At 39.6% G+C, this 25,661-nt stretch overlaps 1 long non-coding RNA gene and 1 pseudogene across 1 annotated transcript in view; both read left to right on the top strand.

Annotated features, from left to right (window-relative positions):
• The window catches only part of LOC124901704 (uncharacterized), a 95,125-nt gene that overhangs the window by 47,561 nt on the left and 21,903 nt on the right, over positions 1-25,661 (top strand). The window lies entirely within an intron of this gene.
• On the top strand, positions 23,557-24,380 carry RPL7AP40 (ribosomal protein L7a pseudogene 40; annotated as a pseudogene).

The following is a 25,661-nucleotide window of genomic DNA, read 5'->3' as shown; positions in this document are numbered from 1 at the left end:
ACAGAGATAAGAGCTAGTCTGACGTGGCATGATATTTTAATTCAAAGGTATCAATTACACATAGCCTATCTGGTCATGTGTCTTCTGCAGTGCTAAAGCTCGGAGATTTAGAATAGATTTGCCCCCAAATTATGGAATTATATAATGTTACAGCTGAACTAACTGCTAAAGCAATACAGTCTGAATCTCTCTTGTGGCAGCTAAGGAAGCTGAAAACCAAAGTGAGCAGGTAATTTGTCCAAAGTCACAACTTAGTGCAAGTAGTTTTAGTGGCCCATCGCCAGACACCAAGTCTGGGGAGTTTTTAGGTTACCTTGTTTTTGCTTTTAAGTGGTCAGTGTTTTGGTCCACACAACATCTATTCTAACCTCCTTATTTGACTTCCTGGGCCACTGATGTCAGAAAAGCTCAAAACTGCAATTCCCAGACTCCCTTTCAGCCAGAATTCCATATGTGACCTGGTGAAAGATAAGAATTAACAGCTGGACTGTCACTCTTAGTTTTAGGGATGCTTGAACATAGTTTGATCTGTAGTTGAACTTCTTGACATATCCACTGTGGCTAAATAAGCCTTCTAAGACCTTCCTAAGTACTGTACCTAGTTGTCGAGATGGTTCATTGTGTAAACTGTAATATATGGACCGCAGCTGCACTAAAGAATGGAAGCATGGCATACAGCCTTTGGAATGCTGAGGATTAGCTGAGACTTCAGGCTTCAGGGATCCTAAACTCTATGACTTTCCTATGCTGATGTGATCCACATTCACTTCAGCTTGTCATTTGTTGTGACCAAAACATGCCCCAATGTATGTGCCTGGGGACATCAGAAGCTGCACCGAAGGCTTCTGAGACACTGTTGCTCTGGATGCTGTCTCTTCTGTATCCTTTCTAAGAGCTAGTTAAATGTTGTGGTGGTAAGTTTGTGCCTTGAAAGTTTGACTAACAGTCCAAACTAGGAACCCACTCTAGTAACAATGCACCTGGGGTCTGCCAAGCAGATCCACCTGCATGAGACTTGGAGGCAGAAGTGAGCACCAGGTGACCAGGTGATGAAGCCCACAGGAAAAGCCATCAGATCTTTTAGTGGGCATGACAAAAGTATTTGGTTTTTCTGGGGCAACTCCAGTGTCTATTGTCCAGTCTCTAGCATCATCAGTACAAGCAGCAAGCTATTGCAGCAGGGATTTTTTTCCGTTATAACCAACTCAGGTATGGTGGGATACTTTTCCCTACTCTTTGCTCCTGACTACTTAAATTCTGTGGGCCAATCAGTTCCTTTAAATATGCATCTTTTTATTGGGTAGAGGGGACTCTTTCTGCATTAAGAACCCTGGGTCAATAAAATTAGAACCTTTTGTCTATCGCATTGAAGGGATTGTTCTGAACATTTTACTTCAGTTTGGCTTTAATTCCTATGTAAAACCCAGGTCTGAATGAAAGGTATTCATCTACACACTGTAAGGTTCAAGACTTGTTTCTAAAGGCTTCTGCCTGAAATTCAAACTCCCCCAAAGCTTCCTACAACTTGTTTATGATTCTTTGATCATCTCCTGAGGTTTTCAGTCAGGCAGTCAGACAACCAATGGAAGAGGAAAGGAAATTGAGGCCCATGGTTAGCTCTTTCTTGGGACCCCATTGCTGTGAGATGTTTGGATAATTTGGGAGACCTCTCTGGCCTCATGAACATTAAAACAGTCAAAAACAAGGAAGCTTTGGGAGAAAGAAATGTTTCACAAGAGCCTGGCTTACACAGCAGAGGAGGGAAGAAAACCAGTACAATGGAGCAGTCCCTATGCATTTTGCCAAAGTAAAAATGCTTCACCCTGACTCTCACTGGCTACCACTTATCACATCAACATGGCTTAGGCTTTAATAGTCAATGGGATAATTGGCCAAAATATGTTTATGGACCATCTGATAGGTATTGAGATATTGTGAAAGCTACAAAAAGAAAGACAGACAAGAAGTTTGTGTATAAGAATTAGTCTCTTTTAATGTGTTTGGCAGTGTTAGAAAAATTCCGGGGAAGGAGACAGAGATCAGCATGGAGACAGATGGAGACAGAGAAAGCAGAATGGGTTGGCCCATGGTAAGGACCCTGAAGCTGCAGGTCTCTAAAAATGAAGAGGCATCAATGGAGAGGAGAGGAGGAAGGCAAGAAGGCTTTCTATACAGGAGGAAAATGGTTTGAACAAAGTACCAGAGGAAACAGAAACGGAGACAGAACTGAAACTCAGTGGACTTATTTGCTTACAGAGAGATGATTACATGGGTGAAGCAGGAAAATAAAGGACAGTGGCTAGAATAGGGTCCTAAGTCTTTCATTCTATTGCTCTGCCTGCCCTCAGATAGAGAAATGCAATACTGCAGCAAGTAGTAAGGCTCTTTTCAGTGTGCAGCTGCCTCCTTTATGTCTTATGAACTTAGGATTCAAATTGAGTGGCTACGAATGTGTAAGCAAAGCCTATAAGCTTTCAAATGAAATAAGGAACTACTGGCCATTTCTAATTCTGATGTGTGTAGGGAAATGTTTCCATCCATTTGCTCATTTGTTCAATAAGCATTAAGTACCCAATAATTAAGTATTAATTTCAACTGAGCACTTACCTGTGCCTGGCTCAATGCATTAATGTTGTAGCAGAGACAGACAATTGCTTCTCATTTAACAGAACCCAGGACTTAACCCTTTTTGTATTAGAAATGACAGTGAATTCATCTAAAAGACTGTATTCCTCAGCCTCCTTTGTGGATGTGGGTGTGTGGCTCAGATCGGGCCAGGAGCAGTTGGATACAGGGGTTCTGGGAAAACTCCTTAGAAGGGATGTAGACTCAGTCCTTGATCCACCCTCCTTTCTGTTGCCTGAAACATGGCTATGTTAATAGACCTTTTCCCGCTGAATCATGGTAGCATAAGGAAGCCACAGTCAGCCTAGGACTCTAATGACAACATGAAGCAGCCATACCAGGTCTTTACCGCCCACTTCTTTTTTTTCTTTCTTTCTTTTTTTTTTTTTTTTTGATACGGAGTCTCGCTGTGTCACCCAGGCTGGAGTGCAGTGGTGCAATCTCGGCTCACTGCAAACTCTGCCTCCCGGGTTCACACCATTCTCCTCCCTCAGCCTCCCAAGTAGCTGGGACTACAGGTGCCCACCACCACGCCTGGCTAACTTTTTTGTGTTTTTTTTTAGTAGAGATGGGGTTTCACCGTGTTAGCCAGGATGGTCTCGATCTCTTGACCTTGTGATCTGCCCGCCTCAGCGTCCCAAAGTGCTGGAATTACAGGTGTGAGCCACTGCGCCCAGCCCTCCTTTTCTTAATATACACGATAAAAATGAATGCCTACTTATCTTCTTTAAACTGACCACAATTCCTAACTGATGTTATCTCATTTAGTATTCATCACCTTATGCCCTTAACATATGTAAGAGCAGGAAGAATCCATTACAAACAAACAACAAAGCTTAGTATCTGAGAGTTAAGCTCACTCACAGAATCCAAGAAAGAAGAAAAAAGTTTCTGTTTGTCTCTTAGTCACCTGTTAGTCCATACTAAGTTCTTACACGAGCAAACATAAATCCACCTTTTTCTTTTCTTCATTCAAGTATTGTCAACTCATCTTTTAATCTCTTATCTCTTCCCCTAGCGTTACACTTCTTTTCTGACTCTGTTCCCCCAGAGCTGGTCATTCTGAGTTCTCTGCTTTGCCCTTTGGCCAAGCTGGAATGGGGTTAGAGTAGGGAGTAGAGGTTGGGGGTCAGGGACTGAGGGGGGAAATGGCATCAGGTGAAGGGCCCTCTAAGCAGGAAAAAATAGGATAAACAAAGTACAGAAAACAATAGGAATGGGGAGGGAACTGTGAGTGACCCCCCATTTGCTCAATGAGAGAGGATCAATATGGACAAAGGAGGGGGGATAATGAAAAAGGAAAAAAGCTTGAGCTGAATCCTGAGATTCTGAATGTAGGAAAATAAGACTCAGGAGGAAATCGGTCCTTTATGGGTCAGTTTGATGATAAAACATTTATAACAAACATTTTTAATTCTAAGATTGTCCCCTCTTAGTATAATCAATTGCATTTCCTGGCTAACAGAATGTGTACTCTTCTCTGTATTACCAAAAAGTCCCCTTTTATTATCCTAGTCTGGCATAGACCAGAGACCCAGGAGTATGGATGTACACTCCACTTTAGAAGTGGGATGTTTACTCCTTTGAGATAGTTACTATTATTTCCATTTACCATATGATAAAAAAGAGACCAATAATTTAAGTAATTTGCCAAAGATCACAACTGGTCAAAGGCAAAGGGAGAACTCAAATATGGATATGCCTCTACTACTCTACTACTTCCTTTGATGTCTGAAACCATGTGTGGCACAGGAGATATAAGACGGGGTAAAAAATGGTTCTTGCCTTAGGGGATTTCTCAGTCTATCTGGTAGCTTGATATACAGTAAACACAAATAAATAATACTAAGAGAGCATAGAGGAAGAAACAAACAAATAGGCAATGGTTTATAGAAAAGTCTCTTACAGGCCGCGCGTGGTGGCTCATGCCTGTAATCCCAGCACTTTGGGAGGCTGAGGTGGGCAGATCACAAGGTCAGGAGATCAAGACCACCCTGGCTAAAACGGTAAGACCCCATCTCTACTAAAAATACAAAAAATTAGCTGGGCGTGGTGGCGGGCGCCTGTAGTTCCAGCTACTCGGGAGGCTGAGGCAGGAGAATGGCATGAACCTGGGAGGCAGAGCTTTCAGTGAGCCAAGATCGCGCCACTGCACTCCAGTCTGGGCGACAGAGTGAGACTCCGTCTGAAAAAAAAAAAAAAAAAAAATCTCTTACAGCCCTTGAAGCAAAATCTCTTGAAATCACCTTTATTTTTTGACCCCATCCTTAGGGTTTAATTGAAAACTGGTGATTTTCTGGAAAGTCTTAACTTATTCACTTGCGGTATTTCAATGAATATTCATTGAATACCTTCTGTGTGCAAAGCACTGTGATTTATGTTTCTCTAAGGGGTTGACAAATGGATGAGGAATGGTCCTACCCTTCAAAAAGTTTAGAAGAAAAAGTATAAAAAATTAAAGGCATAAAAATCGTAGGCTAACAAATTCTGTAAGGGGAATCAAAGGTAAAAGGTAAGAATACCAATGTGCTTTCATCTGTGATCTTTGGTCTCCTTTAAAGGTTGATTCATTCATCTACTAACTCATTTGTTAAAATTTTTATTGAGTCTTTACTAGATAAGTACCATGCTAAGCTCTGGTAAGTCAGCAAAGAACAAGACACAACATATGCCTCAGGAGTGCTTATAGACCAGGCATTCCCAAGAAGGGGCATCGGAAAGGGGGAAAGTAATATCACCCACAGAGCGGATGAAAGTTGGCTCTTGGTGGAGGTGGAAGAAAATCTTTTTAAAAAACATATAAGACACAGACATGCAGTACAAAAATATATAGCATATACAGGTCATTACATTTTTAAGGAGGAAGGGAATGGTGATTAGGAACAAAATGTCTAAAAAGATTCTTTAGATGGGTGATGATAAAAAGGGCTGAGAAATGCTGATATAAACAATTTACCAAGCAATTTCTACATAATGTGCTAAATGCTGTGATAAGAATGAGTCAAGTGGGCTGTGGGAGTACAAAGAAGGGAGACCTAACCCAGATTTGGAAGACAGGAAAGACTGCTTAGTCGGCAATAGCTAAGGTCAAAAAGCACGCAAGGGCCAGAAAAGGGATAAAAATGTGTTCTAGATATATGGAGCAGTATATGCAAAGTGCTAGGGCTGAGAAAGAAAGCATGCGGCACTAATGGTACAAACTTCACCATAAAGTTCAAGTTTGAAAGGGGAAGGGATGATATGAGGCTTCTACTCTTATCCAATAACTGTTTTTAAAAAAATTCTAATAGGTCACTTGGCTGAGACAGCCATCGTGCTTTAGGTTTCTCTGTGAGCAGACCAAAGCCCAATGTAAACAGTAAAATGAAACAAGAGACTTTGCCAATCAGAAACTGCCAACTAACCTCTGAGATGGTTTCCATGTGAAACCAATCAATGTCTTTGGCTTCCCTCCACATAAACCTCACTGCCCACGCTGCTGTGGTGGTGCACTCTGAACCTCTCCTGAGTTCTGCCAGATTCATGAAATAATCTTTGGTCAAATCAACTCTATTACATTTCTGTTGTCTAAAATGTTTCTTTAAGGGTATTGCATAAGGGTGCCACCTTTTGAGTGTGGTCCAAAGCAATAAAGGGCTCTGTAGCAAGTCAAGACTGCAGCACAAGCTATTCTTCCACTTGGGACTTATGATTAGCAGATCCAATGAGACATAAAATGGCTGTAGCAAATAGAAATGATGTATGGAGTCTCTGACAGACAAAATAAGAAAAATCACAGCATAGGCTTCTAGGGTTGAAGCAAAGTCACACTCCCTTCAGCAGATAACTATCCTCATTTTGAGAAACAATCTTTTCTATGAGGCAGTGGTATAGACTAAATGCTAACTGTATCAAGTGAGCATGCAACCTGGCGTGTCTATAAAAAACTGGGTGTTACCTGATTTGCTGAGCCATAATTTGAATATATACAGCAGCCATCTATTTTCAAGTTCTATAACTAGATGGCTCAGATTTCTTTGACACTTCTGTTGCATTCCCTCTTTTTTTTTTTTAATCAATCCACACTTAAGGCCCCATGGGAGTTCCTATGACTAAGAAGGAAAAAAGTCAGTACTGGTTTGTAGATGTCTCTATACAGTATATTAGTACCCACCAGAAGTGAATGGCTGTAGCATTATAATCCCTCTTGAGAGGATTGGTAATGAAGGGCATTAGTAATAGAAATTTATCTCAATGGGCAAAACTTCAAGCAGTTCATTTGATTGATCACTTTGCATCAGAAGGTAGACAAAAGAATGTATCTATATTGATTTATGGGGATTTGTTAACACTTGGGCCTGATGATCAGGGACTTGGAAAGAACAAGATTAGAAGATTAGTGACAGCAAGGTCTGGAGAAGTATGAGGATAGATCTCTCAGAATGGGCATGGTGTGAAAATATTTGTATTTCAACTGATGGCTTATCAAAAAATATCCAAAGCATGTCAACCACAAAGCAAAAATCTGTATTAGATACACAAAACAAAAATATAAAGGATTTAAAGTGTGCCACTCTGAAAAACAATCACACTACAAAGTCAGCAAAAGAGGAAAAAAGAAAAAAGTCTATAAAACAACCAGAAAACAATTAACAAAATGGCAGTAATAAGTTCTTACCTATCAATAATTATCTTGAATGTAAATAGATAAAATTATCCAATAAAAAGTCATAATGACTGAATAGACAAACAGCAAGACCCAACTATATGCTGCATTCAAGGAATTGATATCAGTTTTAAGGACACATAAACTGAAAGTAAAGAGATGAAAAAAGATTTTGTACAAATAGAAACCACAAAAGAACATGGGTAGCTATACTTAGCAGACAAACTAGACTTCAAATAAAAAACCGTAAAAAGATAAAGACAACATTCTGCAAGGGGGTCAATTCATCAGGAAGATATAATAATTGTAAATGTATATGTACACAACATCAGAACACCTAAATATATAAACTATTAACAGATATGAAGTGTGTGAGAGAGATTATAGCACAATAATAGTATAGGACTTCAATAATGGACACATCCAGACAGAAAATAAGAAAACATCAGACTTGAAAAATGCTTTAGACCAAATAGACCTAACAGTGATAATACAGAACATCCCCTCCAACGGGAACAGAATACACATTGTTCTCAACTGCACATGGAACATTCTCCAGGATCATATGTTAAGCCAAAAGACAAGCCTTAACAAATTTAAGAAAGTTAAAAATATCAAGCACCTTTTCTGACCACAATGGTAAAAAACCAGAAATCAATAAGAAAAATGTAAACACAACATACTAAAACATGGGATGCGCAAAAGTAGTGCTAAGCAAAAAATTTATAGCAATAAACACATCGAAAAAGATATCAAATAAACAATGTTATGCCTCAAGGAAATAAAAAAAGAGAACTAAGCCCAATGTCAGCAGAAGGAAACAAAGAGATTAGAGCATAAATGAAAGAGACTGGAAGAACAATACAAAAGATCAGTGAAAATAAATTTTTTTTGAAAAGATAATTGACTAATAAAAGTGAGAACTCAAACTTGGAACTGAAAAAGACATTGCAACTAATAACACAAAAACAAAAAGGATCATGAGAGACTATTATGAAAAATTACATGCCAATAAATTGGATAACTCAGAAAACGAATAAATTTCTAGACACATATGCCACGACTGAACCAGGAAGAAATAGAAAATCTAAACAGATGAATAATGAGCAGCAGATTGAATCAGTAATTAAAAGTCTTCCATCATAGGAAATCCCAGGACCTGATGGCTTTACTGCAGAATCAACCAAACACTTAAAAAACTGATACCAACTCTTCACAAATCCTTGCAAAAAATGGAAAAGGCAGGAATACTTCCAAACTCTTTTTATGAGGCCAGCATTACCCTGATAACGAAACCAGAGAAAGACACTACAAGGAAAAAAACACATTCAAAAACACTGCAGGACAATGTCTTCAGTATATATCAATGTAAAAATCCTCAACAAAATATTAGCTAACTAATTTCAACAACATATTAAAAAATAATTTACCATGATCAAGGGGAATTTGCCCCAGGGATGCAACGATGTTTCAACATACACAAATCTATAAGTGTGATACATCATGTTAACAGAATAAAAGACAAAAACCATGTGGTCATCTCATTAGATGTAGAAAGAACATTTGACAAAATTCAGCATCTTTGAGGGCATTCCAAGACGGCCGAATAGGAACAGCTCTGGTCTGCAGCTCCCAGCGTGATTGATGCAGAAAACGGGTGATTTCTGCATTTCCAACTGAGGCACCTGGTTCATCTCATTGGGACTGGTTGGACAGTTGGTGCAGCCCACAGAGGGCGAGCCAAAGCAGGGCAGGGTGTTGCCTCACCTGGGAAGTGCAAGGGGTCAGGGGTTTTCACTTTCCTAGCCAAGGGAAGCCGTGACCCACTACCTGGAAAAACAGGACACTGCTGCCCAAATACTGTGCTTTTCTCAAGGTCTTAGCAACTGGCAGACAAGGTGATTCTCTCCTGTGCCTGGCTCGGTGTCTGCCACGCCCATGGAGCCTTGCTCACTGCTAGTGCAGCAGTCTGAGATGGATCTGTGAGACAGCAGCCTGGCTGGGGGAGGGGCGTCCATAATTGCTGAGACTTGAGTAGATAAAGCTTCCAGGAAGCTCGAACTGGGCGGAGGCCACCCCAGCTCAACAATGCCAACTGCCTCTAGACTCCACCTCTGTGGGCAGGGCATAGCTGAACAAAACACAGCAGACAACTTTTGCAGACTTAAACGTCCCTGTCTGACAGCTCTGAAGAGAGCAGTGGTTCTCCCAGCACAGCGTTTGAGCTCTGAGAATGGACAGACTGCCTCCTCAAGTGGGTCCCTGACCCCTGTGTAGCCTAACTGGGAGACACCTCCCAGTAGGGGCCAACAGACACCTCATATAGGTGGCTGCCCCTCTGGGACAAAGCTTCCAGAGGAAGGATCAGGCAGCAATATTTGCTGTTCTGCAATATTTGCTGTTCTGCATCCTCTGCTGGTGATACCCAGGCAAAGAGTGTCTGCAGCTCACTCCAACAGACCTGCAGCTGAGGGACCTGTTAGAAGGAAAACTAACAAACAGAAAGGAATAGCATCAACATCAACAAAAAGATCATCTACACCAAAATCCCATCTGTAGGTCACCAACATCAAAGACCAAAGGTAGATAAAACCACAAAGATGGGGAGAAACCAGAGCAGAAAAGCTGAAAATTCTAAAAATCAGGGTGTCTCTTCTCCAAAGGATCGCAGCTCCTCATCAGCAACAGAATAAAGCTAGATGGAGAATGACTTTCACAAGTTGACAGAAGTAGGCTTCAGAAGGTCGGTAATAACAAACTTCTCTGAGCTAAAGGAGGATGTTCGAACCCATCCCAAGGAAGCTAAAAACCTTGAAAAAAGATTAGACGAATGGCTAACTAGAATAAACAGTGTAGAGAAGACCTTAAATGACCTGATGGATGTGTCACGAGAGCTTCGTGACACATGCACAAGCTTCAATAGCCAATTCAATCAAGTGGAAGAAAGGGTATCAGTGATTGAAGATCAAATGAATGAAATGAAACAAGAACAGAAGTTTAGAGAAAAAAGAGTAAAAAGAAACAAACAAAGCCTCCAAGAAATATGGGAGTATGTGAAAAGACCAGATCTATGTTTGATTGGTGTACATGAAAGTGATGGGGAGAATGGAACCAAGTTGGAAAACGCTCTTCAGGATATTATCCACGAGAACCTACCCAACCTAGCAAGGCAGACCAACATTTAAATTCAGGAAATACAGAGAACATCACAAGGATACTCCTTGAGAAGAGCAACCCCAAGACACATAACTGTCAGATTCACCAAGGTTGAAATGAAGGAAGAAGTGTTAAGTGCAACCAGAGAGAAAGGTCAAGTTACCCACAAAGGGAAGCCCATCAGACTAACAGCGGATTTCTCAGCAGAAACCCAACAATCCAGAAGAGAGTGGGGGCCAATATTCAACATTTTTAAAGAAAAGAATTTTCACCCCAGAATTTCATATCCAACCAAACTAAGCTTCATAAGTGAAGGAGAAATAACATCCTTTACAGACAAGCAAATGCTGACAGATTTTGTCACCACCAGGCCTGCCTTACAAGAGCTCCTGAAGGAAGCACTAAACATGGAAAGAAACAACTGATACCAGCCACTGCAAAAACATGCAAAATTGTAAAGACCATCGACGTATGAAGAAACTGCATCAATTAATGGGCAAAATAACCAGTGAACATCATAATGACAGGATCAAATTCACACATAACAATATTAACCTTAAATGTAAATGGGTTAAATGCCCCAATTAAAAGACACAGACTGGCAAATGGGATAAAGAGTCAAGACCCATCAGTGTGCTGTATTCAGGAGACCCATGTCACATGCAAAGAGGCACATAGGCTCAAAATACAGGGATGGAGGAAGTTCTACCAAGCAAATGGAAAACAAAAAAAAGCAGGGGTTGCAATCCTAGTCTCTGATAAAACAGACTTTAAGCCAACAAAGATCAAAAGAGACAAAGAAGACCATTACATTACGGTAAAGGGATCAATTCAACAAGAAGAGCTAACTGTCCTAAATATATATGCACTCAATACAGGAGCACCCAGATTCATAAAGCAAATCCTTAGAGACTTACAAAGAGACTTAGACTCCCACAAAATAATAATGGGAGACTTTAACACCCCACTGTCAATATTAGACAGATCAATGAGACAGATGGTTAACAAGGATATCCAGGACCTGAACTCAGCTCTGCAACAGGCAGACCTAATAGACATCTACAGAACTCTCCACCCCAAATCAACAGAATATACATTCTTCTTAGCACGACATCACACTTATTCTAAAATTGACCACATAATTGGGAGTAAAGCACTCCTCAGCAAATGTAAAAGAACAGAAATCACAACAAATTGTCTCTCAGACCACAGTGCAATCAAATTAGAACTCAGGATTAAGAAACTCACTCTAAACCACACAACTACATGGAAACTGAACAACTTGTTCCTGAATGACTACTGGGTAAATAACAAAATGAAGGCAGAAATAAAGATGTTCTTTGAAACCAATGAGAACAAAAACACAACGTACCAGAATCTCTGGGACACATTTAAAGCAGTGGGTAGAGGGAAATTTATAGCAGTAAATGCCCATAAAGCAGGAAAGATCTAAAATTGACACCCTAACATCACAATTAAAAGAACTAGAGAACCAACGGCAAACGAGTTCAAAACCTAGCAGAAGGCAAGAAATAATTAAGATCAGAGCAGAACTGAAGGAGGTAGAGACACAAAAAACTCTTCAAAACAATCAATGAATATAGGAGCTGGTTTTTTTTAAAAGAACAACAAAATTGATAGACTGCTAGCAAGACTAATAAAGAAGAAAAGAGAGAAGAATCAAATCGCTGCAATAAAAAATGATAAAGGGGATATCACCACCGATCCCACAGATATAGAAACTACCATCAGAGAATACTATAAACACCTCTATGCAAATAAACTAGAAAATCTAGAAGAAACGGATAAATTCCTGGATACATACACCCTCCCAAGACTAAACCAGGAAGAAGTTGGATCTCTGAATAGACCAATAACGGGCTCTGAAATTAAGGCAATAATTAATAGCCTACCAACCAAAAAAAGTCCAGGACCAGACGGATTCACAGCCGAATTCCACCAGACGTACAAAGAGGAGCTGGTACCATTCCTTCTGAAACTATTCCAATCAACAGAAAAAGAGGAAATCCTCCCTAACTCATTTTATGAGGCCAACATCATCCTGATACCAAAGCCTGGCAGAGAACCAACAAAGAGAATTTTAGACCAATATCCCTGATGAACATTGATGGGAAAATCCTCAATACTGGCAAACTGAATCCAGCAGCACATCAAAAAGCTTATCTACCATGATCAAGTTGGCTTCATCCCTGGGATGCAAGGCTGGTTCAACATATGAAAATCAGTAAATGTAATCCATCACATAAACAGAACCAATGACAAAAACCACGATTATCTCAATAGATGCAGAAAACACCTTTGACAAAATTCAACAGCCCTTCATGCTAAAAATTCTCAATAAACTAGGTATCAATGGAATGTATCTCAAAATAATAAGAACTACTTATAACAAACCCACAGCCGATATCATACTGAATGGGCAAAAACTGGAACCATTCCCTTTGAAAACCGACAGAAGACAGGGATGCCCTCTCTCACCACTCCTATTCAACATAGAGTTGGAAGTTCTGGCCAGGGCAATCAGGCAAGAGAAAGAAATAAAGGGTATTCAATTAGGAAATGAGGAAGTCAAATTGTCCCTGTTTGCAGATGACATGATTGTATATTTAGTAAACCCCATCGTTTCAGTCCAAAATCTCCTTAAGCAGATAAACAACATCAGCAAAGTCTCAGGATACAAAATCAATGTGCAAAAATCATAAGCATTCCTATACACCATTAACAGACAGAGAGTCAAATCATGAGTGAACTCCCATTCACATTTGCTACAAAGATAATAAAATACCTAGGAATCCAACTTACAAGGAAGTGAAGGACCTCTTCAAGGAGAACTACAAACCACTGCTCAACAAAATAAAAGAGGACACAAACAAATGGAAGAATATTCCATGCTCATGGATAGAAAGAATCAATATTGTGAAAATGGCCATACTGCCCAAAGTAATTTATAGATTCAATGCCATCCCCATCAAGCTACGAATGACTTTCTTCACAGAATTGGAAAAAGCCACTTTAAAGTTCATATGCAACCAAAAAAGAGCCTGCATTGCCAAGACAATCCTAAGCCAAAACAACAAAGCTGGAGGCATCACGCTACCTGACTTCAAACTATACTACAAGGCTACAGTAACCAAAATAGCATGGTACTGGTACCAAAACAGATATATAGAACAATGGAAAAGAACAGATGCCTCAGAAATAACACCACACATCTACAACCATCTGATCTTTGACAAACCTGACAAAAACAAGAAACGGGGAAAGCATTCCCTATTTAATAAATGGTGCTGGGAAAACTGGCTAGCCATATGTAGAAAGCTGAAACTGGATCCCTTCCTTACACCTTATACAAAAATTAATTCAAGATGGATTAAAGACTTAAATGTTAGACCTAAAACCATAAAAACCCTAGAAGAAAACCTAGGCAATACCATTCAGGACATAGGCATGGGCAAAGACTTCATGACTAAAACACCAAAAGCAATGGCAACAAAAGCCAAAATTGACAAATGGGACATAATTAAACTAAAGAGCTTCTGCACGGCAAAAGAAACTACCATCAGAGTGAACATGCAACCTACAGAATGGGAGAAAAGTTTTGCAATCTACCCATCTGACAAAGGGCTATATCCATAATCTACAAAGAACTCAAACAAATTTACAAGAAAAAAACAAACCCCATCAAAAAGTGGGCAAAGGATTTGAAGAGACACTTCTCAAAAGAAAACATCTATGCAGTCAACAGACACATCAAAAAATGCTCATCATCACTTGTCATCAGAGAAATGCAAATCAAAAACACAATGAGATACCATCTCATGCCAGTTAGAATGGCAATCATTAAAAAGTCAGGAAACAACAGATGCTGGAGAGGATGTGGAGAAATAGGAACGCTTTTACACTGTTGGTGGGAGTGTAAATTAGTTCAACCATTGTGGAAGACAGTGTGGTGATTCCTCAAGGATCTAGAACTAGAAATACCATTTGACCCAGCAATCCCATTACTGGGTATATACCCAAAGGATTATAAATCATGCTACTATAATGACACATGTACACATATGTTTATTGTGGCACCATTCACAATAGCAAAGACTTGGAACCAACCCAAATGTCCATCAATGATAGACTGGATTAAGAAAATGTGGCACATATATAACATAGAATACTATGCAGCCATAAAAAAGGATGAGTTCATGTTCTTTGCAGGGGCATGGATGAAGCTGGAAACCTCCATTCTCAGCAAACTATCAAAAGGACAGAAAACCAAACACCGCATGTTCTCACTCGTAGGTGGGAATTGAACAATGAGATCACTTGGACACAGGGCAGGGAACGTCACACACTGGGGCCTGTTGGAGGGGGTGGGGGGTGGGGGAGGGATAGTATTAGCAGAAATACCTAATGTAAATGATGAGTTGATGGGTGCAGCAAACCAACATGGCACTGGTATACCTACGTATCAAACCTGCACATTGTGCACATGTACCCTAAAACTTAAAGTATAATTTAAAAAAATAGAATCAATTAAATCAGTGGCTTTCAAAAAAATTCAACATCTTTTGTCATTAGACACTCTCAATACATTAGATATAGAAGGAATATACCTCAACACAATAAAGGTCATATATGATAAGCCCACAGTAAATATACTCAACAGTGAAAAACTGAAATCCTTTTCTCTAAGATCTCGAAAACACAAGAATGCCTACTCTGATTATTTCTATTCAATGTAGAGTGGGAAGTCCTTGCCAAAGCAATTAGACAAGAGAAAGAAATAAAAGGCATCTAAATAGGAAAGGAAGTAGTGATATTATTATTGTTTGATGACAAGAACTTACATATAGAAAAACTACAAAGATTTCACCAAAAACTGTTAAGAGCTAATTTAAGAATATAATAAAGTTGTAGAATACAAACTCAACATACAAAAATTGGAGGTCTTTATGTACACTAACGATGGACATTCCAAAAGAGAACAATCCTATTTACAGTAGCCATAAAAATAATTTAGAAATAAATTTAATCAAGGAGATAGAGACCTGCACACTAAAAACTATAAAATGTTAATAAAATAAATTGAAAAAGACACAAATAAATGGAAAGATATCCCATGTTTATGGATTGGAAGAATTGACATTGTTTAAATGTCCATAATACCCGAAGTGATATACAGATTCAATGCAATCCCTATCAAAATTTCAATGTCATTTTTCATGGAAAAGAAAAAAACAATCCTAAAATTCATATGGAACCACAAAAACCCCAAATAGCCACAGCAATCATAAGGGAAAAAAAAAAAACTGGAGGCATCACACCACCTGACTTTATATTATAAAGCAGCATGGTACTGGCATAAAAATAGACTCATTGACTAATGGGAAAAAATACAGAGCCTGGAAATGAACCCATGCACATATGGAGAACTGATTTTCAACAAAGGTGCCATGAATATAGGAAAAAGTCAGTCCTTAATGAATTCTGTTGAAAAAAATTGGATATCCAGATGCAGAAGAATGAAATTAGACCCTTATCTCACACCATATGTAAAAATCACCTCAAAGTGGATTAAAGACTTAAACATAAGACCTGACACTATAAAACTACTAGGGGAAAACATTCTGGAAAAACTACCAGACACTGGTCTGGGCAATGATTTTCTAGATTTGACCCCAAAAGCACATTCAATAAAAGCAAAAAGAGATAAACAGGATTACCTCAAAATAAAAATCCTCCACACAACAAAGGAAACAACAGAGTGAAGAGACAACCTAAAGATCAGGAGAAAATAGCTGCAAGCCATGCAGCTGATTAGGGGTCAATATGTAAAATATGAGAGTCAATTCTATACAAAGAAAACAAATCTGATTTAAAAATAGGTAAGGGAACTGAATAGACATTTATCCAAAGAAGATCTACAAATGGCCAACAGATACTAGAAATATTGAGCATTTTTTCATAATTAGAGAAATATAAATTAAAACCACAATGAGATATCCCCATACACGTATCAGAATGGCTATTCAAAAGATGAAAGATAATGAGTATTAATGAGAATGTATAGAAATGGGAACACTTGGACACTATTGGTGGAAATATCAATTAGTATGGCCATTATAGAAAAATGTATAGAGGTTTCTCAAAAAACTAAACATAGAATTACATATGATTCAGCAATCCCACTTTAGAATATTTACTCAAAATACTTGAAATCAGTATATTGAAGAGATGTCTGCATTCCCATGTTCACTGCAGCACTATTCACAGTGGGAAAGTTATGGAGTCAGCCTAAGTGTCCATCAACAGAGGAATAGATAAAGAAAATATTGTATCACACATAATGGAATACTATTTAGTTAAAAAAACTTGTCATTTGTGGCAATACGGATGGAAGTAAAAAACATTATGCTAAACTAAATAAACCAGACACAGATGAAGATTGCATGTTCTTATTATATGTAGAATATAAAACACTCAAATGCAAAGAAGCACAGAATAGAATGGTAGTTACCGGGGGTGAAGGTGGGGGGGTGGTACAGGAGGAATGAGGAAGATGATGGTCAAAGAAAACAAAGCCTCAATTAGAAGAAATATTTCTTTTTCCTTTAGATGTATTGCATTGCAGACTGAATATAGCAAAATAACCTATTGTACATTTCAAAATCACTGAGAGTTAATTTCAAATGTTCTCACCACAAAAAATAAGTATTAAAGATAATGAACATATTAATTAGCTTGATTTAATTATTCCATATTATATTCATAAATATCACTTTGGGCCAGGCATGGTGGCTCATGCCTATAATCCCAGCACTTTGGAAGGCTGAGGCAGGTGGATCACCAGGTCAGGAGTTCGAGACCCACCTGAGTAGCATGGTAAAACCCCGTCTCTACTAAAAATACAAAAAAATTAGCCAGGCATGGTGGCACATGCCTGTAATTCCAGCTACACAGGAGGCTGAGGCAGGAGAATTGCTTGAACCCAGGAGGCAGAGGTTGCAGTGATCCAAGATCGCACCACTGCACTCCAGCCTGGGCTACAGAGTGAGACTCCATCTCTCAAAAAAAAAAATCACTTTGAACCCCATAATTACATGCAATTATAACTTGTCAATTTACAATTAAAAGTTTTTTTATAGGCCTGGCACAGTGGCTCATGCCTATCTCAGTATTTTGGGGGCTGAGATAAGAGAATTGCTTGAGCTCAGGAGTTCAAGACCAGCCTGGGCAACAGTGAGACCTCTTCTGTACTAAAAAACAAACAAACAAAACAAACACACAAACAACCTAATAAAAACATCTACGGGCCGGGTGTGGTGCCTTATACCTGTAATCCCAGCACTTTGGGAGGCCAAGCCTGCTGGATCATGAGGTCAGGGAGATAGAGACCATCCTAGCTAACATGTTGAAATCCTGTATCTACTAAAAATACAAAAAATTAGCCGGGCATGGTGGCACCACCTGTAGTCCCAGCTACTTGGGAGGTTGAGGCAGGAGAATCCCTTGAACCCGGGAAGCAGAGGTTGCAGTGAGCCGAGATCACGCCACTGCACTCCAGCCTGGGTGACAGAACGAAACTCTGTCTCAAAAAAACAAACATCTATGGTAGAGGATATTCCCAGTAATCAGGTGAATAAATTGACGTAGTTTGTGAATATCTTTCAACTTCTTTCTCCAACCACCCTAGTGCTTAATGGGCCTATGTACAAAGTGGCCATGGCGGCAGGGATATGGTGGCAGGATGCTATGCATGGGCTGAATAACATGGACTTTCCCTCACCAAGGCTGACATGGATACCACTGTTGTTGAGGCTAATCTATCAACATCAGAGATCAATGCTGAGCCCTTTGATGTGCCAGTACCCGCTAGGAGACTAGATAGATATCTGGTAGCAAATTGATTCCGTCAGTCTCTTCTTTATGAGGAATAGGCAAGGATTTATCCTCATTGGAATAGGTATGTATTCTGGATATGAATTGGGCTTCCCTGTTGATAATACACTGCCAGCGTCACAATTTGTGAACCTATGGATTGCCTCACTCAGAATTATGTGATTATACAAATGTTGCTGGTAACCAGGGAACTCATTTCAGAGCTAAAGAAGTGCACAATGGGCTCATGCCCATGGTGTTGATTAATCTCCCAGCACCAATCACCTAGAAGCAGTTGATCTAGTAGAATGCTAGAATAACCTAGTGAAGACTCAGTTATGGTGCGTTTGGAGACAATGCCCTGAAAGTATGGGGTTCTATTTTACAGGATGAAGTTTATAGTTTGAATTAGTGACCAATATTTGCTGCTGTCTCTCCCAAAGTCAGGATAGAAGGACCCAGAAATCAACATGCAGAATTGCATGTAATTCCCCTCACTATTAGTAACGTACTTGCAGAATTTTTGCTTTGAACTTTGCCAATTTAGAAGACATGGTTCCAAGGGAAAAATGTTTCTACCAGGGGACACAATGATGGTTCTATTGAATTAGAAGTTAGGGCTACCACCTGGCCATTTGGGGTTCTTCATGCTACTGATCCAACAGGCAAAGATGGGGTTAATCAACTGGCTGGGATGATTGACTCTGTTTACTAAGAGGAAATGGGGTTGCTGCCTACACCGGAGCTGGGAGGACTATGTTTGGAACCCAGAAATGTTTCCGCCTCAAAAGGGCAGGTCCACTGAAGATTCAGGTCCTTCAGAATGAGAGTTTGAGACATCAAACATCACCAGGTTAAAAACAACAGTAAAGACAACTTTGATCTGGTGAAGTTACGGCTGAGAACAAAAGAGACAAGGGATTGGTAGTGAAAGAAGAAAGTTATAAACTATTACCTTGGGACTAGTTATAGAAGTAATGACTAATGTATATATTTTCTGTTTATTGTATAAGTGAGCGTTCATCTCTGTACATATAAATACAAATTTTTCTTTCATATGCTTCCCCTTATTAATTTTCACAAATTTTGTTGGCAGGTAAGTTTACTATTTCCTCTTTAGGTGACCAAATATTCAGATGGAACTGTGACTGAACTTTGGGAGTAGTTATCATAGCCCAGAGATAAATCATTTATGGATGTGGATGCTCTTATTGTTGTAACTTTAGGCTCCTCATTTTGAGAAAAGGATGAGAACGTCTTCATTTGTAAAAAGGATAGTTGCATTTCTAAGTGAAAACATAGAGTTGTTTTTGTTGTTTGTAAGACACATAGAAGGATGCGAGCGTGCTGAATAGCTAAAGGGATGGATTTTGCCAGTTTCTGAGTTATTGTCCTTTAGCTTCAAACCCACTCTTCTAACTTAGCTTTGTGATGCTGGTGTTAGGACTCTACAAACTACATTCCTGCTTTGCCAGATGGTTTCCTTAGGCTCTGCCAATAGGGGATACTAGAGGAAAACTACTGGATTGGAGAAGGAAAAGCCTTGTTACTTCCAGTTTGCCTCTTATTCTTATTCCTATCAGTGTCCTCCAGGCTCTTTTCACTCTAGAAGCTGCCGCCCATTCTAGTAGCAGCAGTTGAAGCAAATTTACAGTTTCTAACATTTGCAAAACTAGCTGCATCATACTCACTCCACCTAAGACACACCAGCTGTCCACTGCCCCTCTCCTCAGAGGCCTGAATTTCAGCTACTCGGGGCACACTTTTAAAGTTTAATAATTTTAACCTCTTCCCGTTATTCCCTCAGCCCTAGAATTGATAGCTTCTTCCTGCATTTGCTACCTCTATGACATCTTATTGTTCTCTTTTGCTTTATCAGTTCTTCATAACTAATAAACAACTTTTCATCTTCTGTCAATGAAAATGACTGGTGTAGTTTCTGTCTTTTGAGAGTAGTTTCGGTCTTCTGACTGGAGTCAAGTTCAGCCTAAAACTGCCTTCTCACGTATTTTAAGTTCAGCTTAAAGGTTTCTCCATACAGAGAAATACTGTAAACCAGAGGTGTAAACAGATTATAACCTAACCTTGTTTCAATCAAGAAGTTTTGGCCAATTGAAGGCAGCCAGCTGTTCAAACCATGTTCAAATAAAGCAAACACGAAGATGTAATCAATCCAGCTGTTTCTGTACCTCAACTTCCATTTTCTGTATGTCACTTTCCTTTTCCTGTCCATAAATCATCTTCTACCACAGAGCTGTGCTGAAGTCTCTCTGAACCTATTTTGGTTTTGGGAATGCCTGATTTGCAAGTCCTTCTTAGTTCAATCAAACTGTTTAATTTGTCTATGGTTGTTTCTTTTAGCAACTCTAAGTGATTCAAGAGGTAAACTCAAGCTAGATCGTAAAGCATCTAACGATATGCATTGAGGAGTTTGGACTTACCTTAAACAAGATAGCATTGAAGGGTTTTTAAAGCAAGGAAGTGACATAATCAGATTTGAATTTGAGAAAAATTACCCTCATGGCACTCTAGAGAACAGATTGGAGGGGTCAATACTAGAGGAAGTTAGGAAGATATTGGGGAAATCCAGATGAGATAATAGGTTGAACTAAAGTGAAAATGTGGATAGAAAAAACTGAGTGAATGTAAGAGTTATTAAATAGAATAAACAAGACTTGGTGATAGGTTGAATAAAGGTGGGGAGGGAACAATAGGAATATATTTCATGCAGAGGTAAGGAAGAGAAAGACATCAAAGATGACACCCAGTTTCTGGTAATGACAGCTAGGTGATTGTTCATAAAAAGAAGCCCAGACAGGGTGATCAGGTTTAGGGCAATTGAATGAGTGGAGTTTTGAACTATGGTCTTTGGGTTTTAGGATAGCTAGGGGTAGATATGTAAGGAATGCTTGGATTCAGAGGTATGGAGCTCATGAGAGAGATGTAGCCTGGGGAGAGATCTGGATATCATCAAATACATGGTTCAGAGAGCCAAAGGAGTTGATGGAGTACCCACAGGGGGAATGGAGTAAGAAAGATCTAAGACCAAAATCCTAAGAACAAAATGTGAGGATGTTTGGTGTGGTACTTTGAGTAAGCAGGTGTTTCTTTTTCTTGCTTTCTTTCTTTCTTTTTTTTTTTTTTTGCAGACAGAGTCTCACTTTGTTGCCCAGGCTGGAGTGCAGTGGTGCATCTCCGCTCACTGCAAGCTCCATCCCCCAGGCTCATGCCATTCTCCTGCCTCAGCCTCCCAAGTAGCTGGAACTACAGGCGCCCACCACCATGCCTGCCTAATGTTTTTGTATTTTTAGTAGAGACAGGGTTTCACAGTGTTCACCAGGTTGGTTTTGATCTCCTGACCTTGTGATCCGCCTGCCTCGGCCTCCCAAAGTGCTAGGATTACAGGCGTGAGCCACCGCGCCCAGCCACAGGTGTTTCTTTTCATTCCTGAATTTGAAAGGTACCATTAACTGTGTCCAGAGTTAGGGCCCATTTACATGATCTCAGGAAATTTGCCCTGCAGTCTCCTTTTGGAAGAGTTACTATCATCTAGTGTTGATTGCCATGCCTGCACTATCTCCCTACACAGGGGACTCTACTGGGACAACCCTATTGGCATCACTATTTGATGACCAGTATGGGGTGCTTGTCTATGAGGAACTGACGCAGAGGTACCTAAAGGAATGCTTGGCACCCTACGAGCAACATGAGAACCTTTGAGTGGGTAAGACCACTGAAAAGCAAGTGTCTAAAGTGTCACTTGATGAGGACACAACCAATAGGTGCTGAGCCAGTAGGTTACCTTTAGCAATTCAATAACATTTTCCTCTGGGAGGAAGTGTAATGGGATAATGGTTAAAGGCATAGGTGCTAGGAAAACTAAAAAGGTTGAAATCCCATTTCTTGCTCTTATCAGCTATTCGACACCTAGCAAGTTACTTCATTCCTCTAAGCTTCAGATTATTCATCTATAAAACAAATAGCAAATCATAGGGAAATTGAGGTTTAAATAATTTATGTAACATGATCTATATAATAGATGAATAGCTATATACTATATGTAATCTAATAATAACCAATATAAATCTCAGTATGTGGCATACATTCTATGTTAACTACATGTGCTTGATGTCAGTTTATTGCCTCTCTTCTCCAAAGTGATTCTGCCTTACCAGCTCTGTGATGATGGAGATTTAAATATTTTTCCTTTGTAGTGAGAAAATATCTAGCTTTATCAGTGGAGAGTGCTGGAGGATCATTGTAAAAGCAGGGATTTATCTAGTGTGCTGCCATTTTTGCTTCTCCTTTGTTCCTACTGCACAGATGCCAGCAGCATGTGTGCTGGGACACCAGCATACTCCGCCTACCTGCATGTCCATGATGTGTAGTCTCTTGCCAAGCTTGTAGCCTGGCCTGGACTGGTGATCACCTCACCTGGCACTCAGGACATTATCAATGAACATCTCATGCTATGGGGCACCCTGCTCACAAGTAAACTCCAGATGCCCTGACTCCCTCTTAGTGCCTACCTGGCTATCAGCCTCTGCCCATCCATACCTGAGTTGCTTATTGTGTAACTCTAGACACAAACACTGTGCACTCCAAGCCACACATTTCCTTAGGCCTCATACCCTCTGTGTGCCTGTTACTATCCTCAACCTGCTTGCATTGCAAAAGGTTGTTAAGACGCCCAGATATCCACACTACATATCCATCTGTACACTGCCTTACCAGTGAGCAGAATCTCCAAACTCCCAATTCCTCTGTAAGCCTGCCTGCCTGCCAGCACCATCACACCTGCCAGAGGGTAGTTTCCTGCTTGCTTAGCAACTATACACTAGCTCTAGCCTGGGCAACACAGCAAATGCCTCTGCTATCTACTAGGTTCTGAATCCCAACCTTGGGAAGGGCCTCTCTTTCCAAGTTTGTTCTTCTGTGGGTACTCTGCCTTATCCCTAGGGTATTCCTTTGAGTTCTCTTTACAGCTTTATAACAGTTTTACAGTTACTTCCCTACTTAATACTTTTTATATTAAACTTTCCGTATTCAAATTGATCGTTTGTTCCAGAATGAACACTGACTACTATACTATTTTTAGATATTATTTTATTCAACTAATATTTATGGAGTCCCTGCAATGTGGCTGGCACTTTATAAGTATTGGTCAAACATCAGAGAACAAAACAAACTTTCTGACTTATGGAACTTGCATTCTCTATAGAAAGACTGAGATTGGGCTCTCTCCTCCTGCCACCCAAGATGCCAAAAAGAAAGGCCAATGGGAAGAAGCAGGTGGCCAAGAAAGTGGTGAATCCCCTGTTTGAGAAAAGAATTAAGAATTTTGGCATTGGACAGGACATCCAGCCCAAAAGGGAGCTCACCTACTTTATGAAATGGCCCCATTGTATCAGGTTGCAGCACCAGAGAGCCATCCTCTGTAAGTGGCTGAAAGCGCCTCCGGCGATTAACCAGTTCACCCAGGCCTTGGACCGCCAAACAGCTACTCAGCTTCTTAAGCTGGCCACTGACCAGAGAAAAAGCAAGAGAAGAAGCAGAGGCTGTTGGCCTGGGCTAAGAAGAAAGCTGCTGGCAAAGGATATGTCTCTGTTAAGAGATCACCTGTCCTTCAAGCAGGAATTAACACCATCACCACCTTGGTGGGGAACAAGAAGGCTCAGCTGGTGGTGACTGCACAGGACATGGATCCCATCGAGCTGGTGTCTTCCTGCCTGCCCTGTGTCATAACATGAGGGCCCCTTACTGCATTATCAAGGGAAAGGCAAGACTGGGGCATCTAGTCCACAGGAAGACCTGCACCATTGTAGCCTTCACACACAACAAAGGAGCTCTGGCTAAACTGTTGGAAGCTATCAGGATCAATTATAACGACAGATATGATGAGATTCCCCATCACTGGGGAGGCAACGTCCTGGGTCCCAAGTCTGGCTCACATTGCCAAGCTGGAGAAGCCAAAGGCTAAAGAACTTGCCACCAAATGGTTAAATGTACACTGTTGAGTTTTCTGTACATAAAAATAATTAAAATAATACAAATTCTCCTTTAAAAGAAGACTGAGATTGGGGCAACAGAGTTAAACAATGTGAGATGTGTCTTTGGGTCTAGAAGACATAAAGGTACCCTCACATGTTTCATAAAGCTAAGCTTTGAGAACAACTGCAATATTTTGAAGATATTCACTATACTATTTTACTGAAGTATTACAATGTTGCCTTTCTCCCTACTTTAGATTAGTCGGTTTAAAATATTATCTAATCCAAATCCCATTCATTCAAATGTTTTTACCATAATCTTTTTGTTTAGTCATATTTTAAAATCAAATTGCTATTGAGTGAGCTTATCTTACAAGTTCATTATGATATACATTTTAAATGTAAAATTTTACTATTCTTGTAGCCTGGTGCTTTGTTCTCCTTTCAGTCATCTAATGTGAGTGGCAGCATTTGTTAGATATGCCATTACTATGCAGATAGTTATTCTTTTAATGTTGCTTAGCAACAATTATTCAACATTCAGCTCCTTTCAGCTTTCGCACGGCTATATTTTGAAATCCTGAAAAGGGTGTACTATTTCAGGTATCTAGCATTGAACTCTATTATTTCTTTGCTAAAACATTATAAGCTAATCTTACAATTTGTACAAAAATAATACATTTCCTAAAGCCCATAACTGCCAACGGACCCCAGCACTTCTGCATGTTTCTGTAAGTCAGACTTAAAGATGTCTAAAATACTCAACTAGTTGGAATAAGTGAATTTATATTTCAAATTCATTAATCTCGAGAGTCAAAATGCATTCCTTGATCAAATAAGTTCTGAAAATAAAAGGGCAAAAAATGTAGTTAAACTAGATACATTTAACAGCCTCTTGAAATTCCATAATTTTATAGGAATCAAGTTGATATAACAAAGGTCCTGTAGTCTTTCCTCTATCAGGTCTCTTAACAAAAGGAAAATGCAAACAACCCTCAAGTGTTGTTCATTGTAAAACCAATTTTTTGAAACACATCAACATAAAATGCCAAGAGCTGGAAAATAAGGAGCTTTATAAAAAATGAAAGCAACAAATACAATCACAAAAGTAACCATTAGGTCAATTTTCCCTCTTAAGCAGATATATTCCTACATGACATATTAACCAAATTCTTGAAGTGTTATGAATAATTCAAAATTGGGGGGAGTTGGATTACATTGAAAGGGAGCTAATCACTATAAATGAAAGAACCTGTGGTTGATCCTTAATTGAAATAATTATTTTCCTATTTTTTTAGTTTTACTCACTCAAGGTATGTTGTTGGTTTAGTTTGTTTTTAATATAGCAGTGA

The sequence above is a fragment of the Homo sapiens genome, chromosome 7 (assembly GCF_000001405.40).
Source record: "Homo sapiens chromosome 7, GRCh38.p14 Primary Assembly".
In the NCBI taxonomy this organism is placed as follows: Eukaryota; Metazoa; Chordata; class Mammalia; order Primates; family Hominidae; genus Homo; species Homo sapiens.
This window is presented reverse-complemented; position numbering and strand designations above follow the sequence as displayed.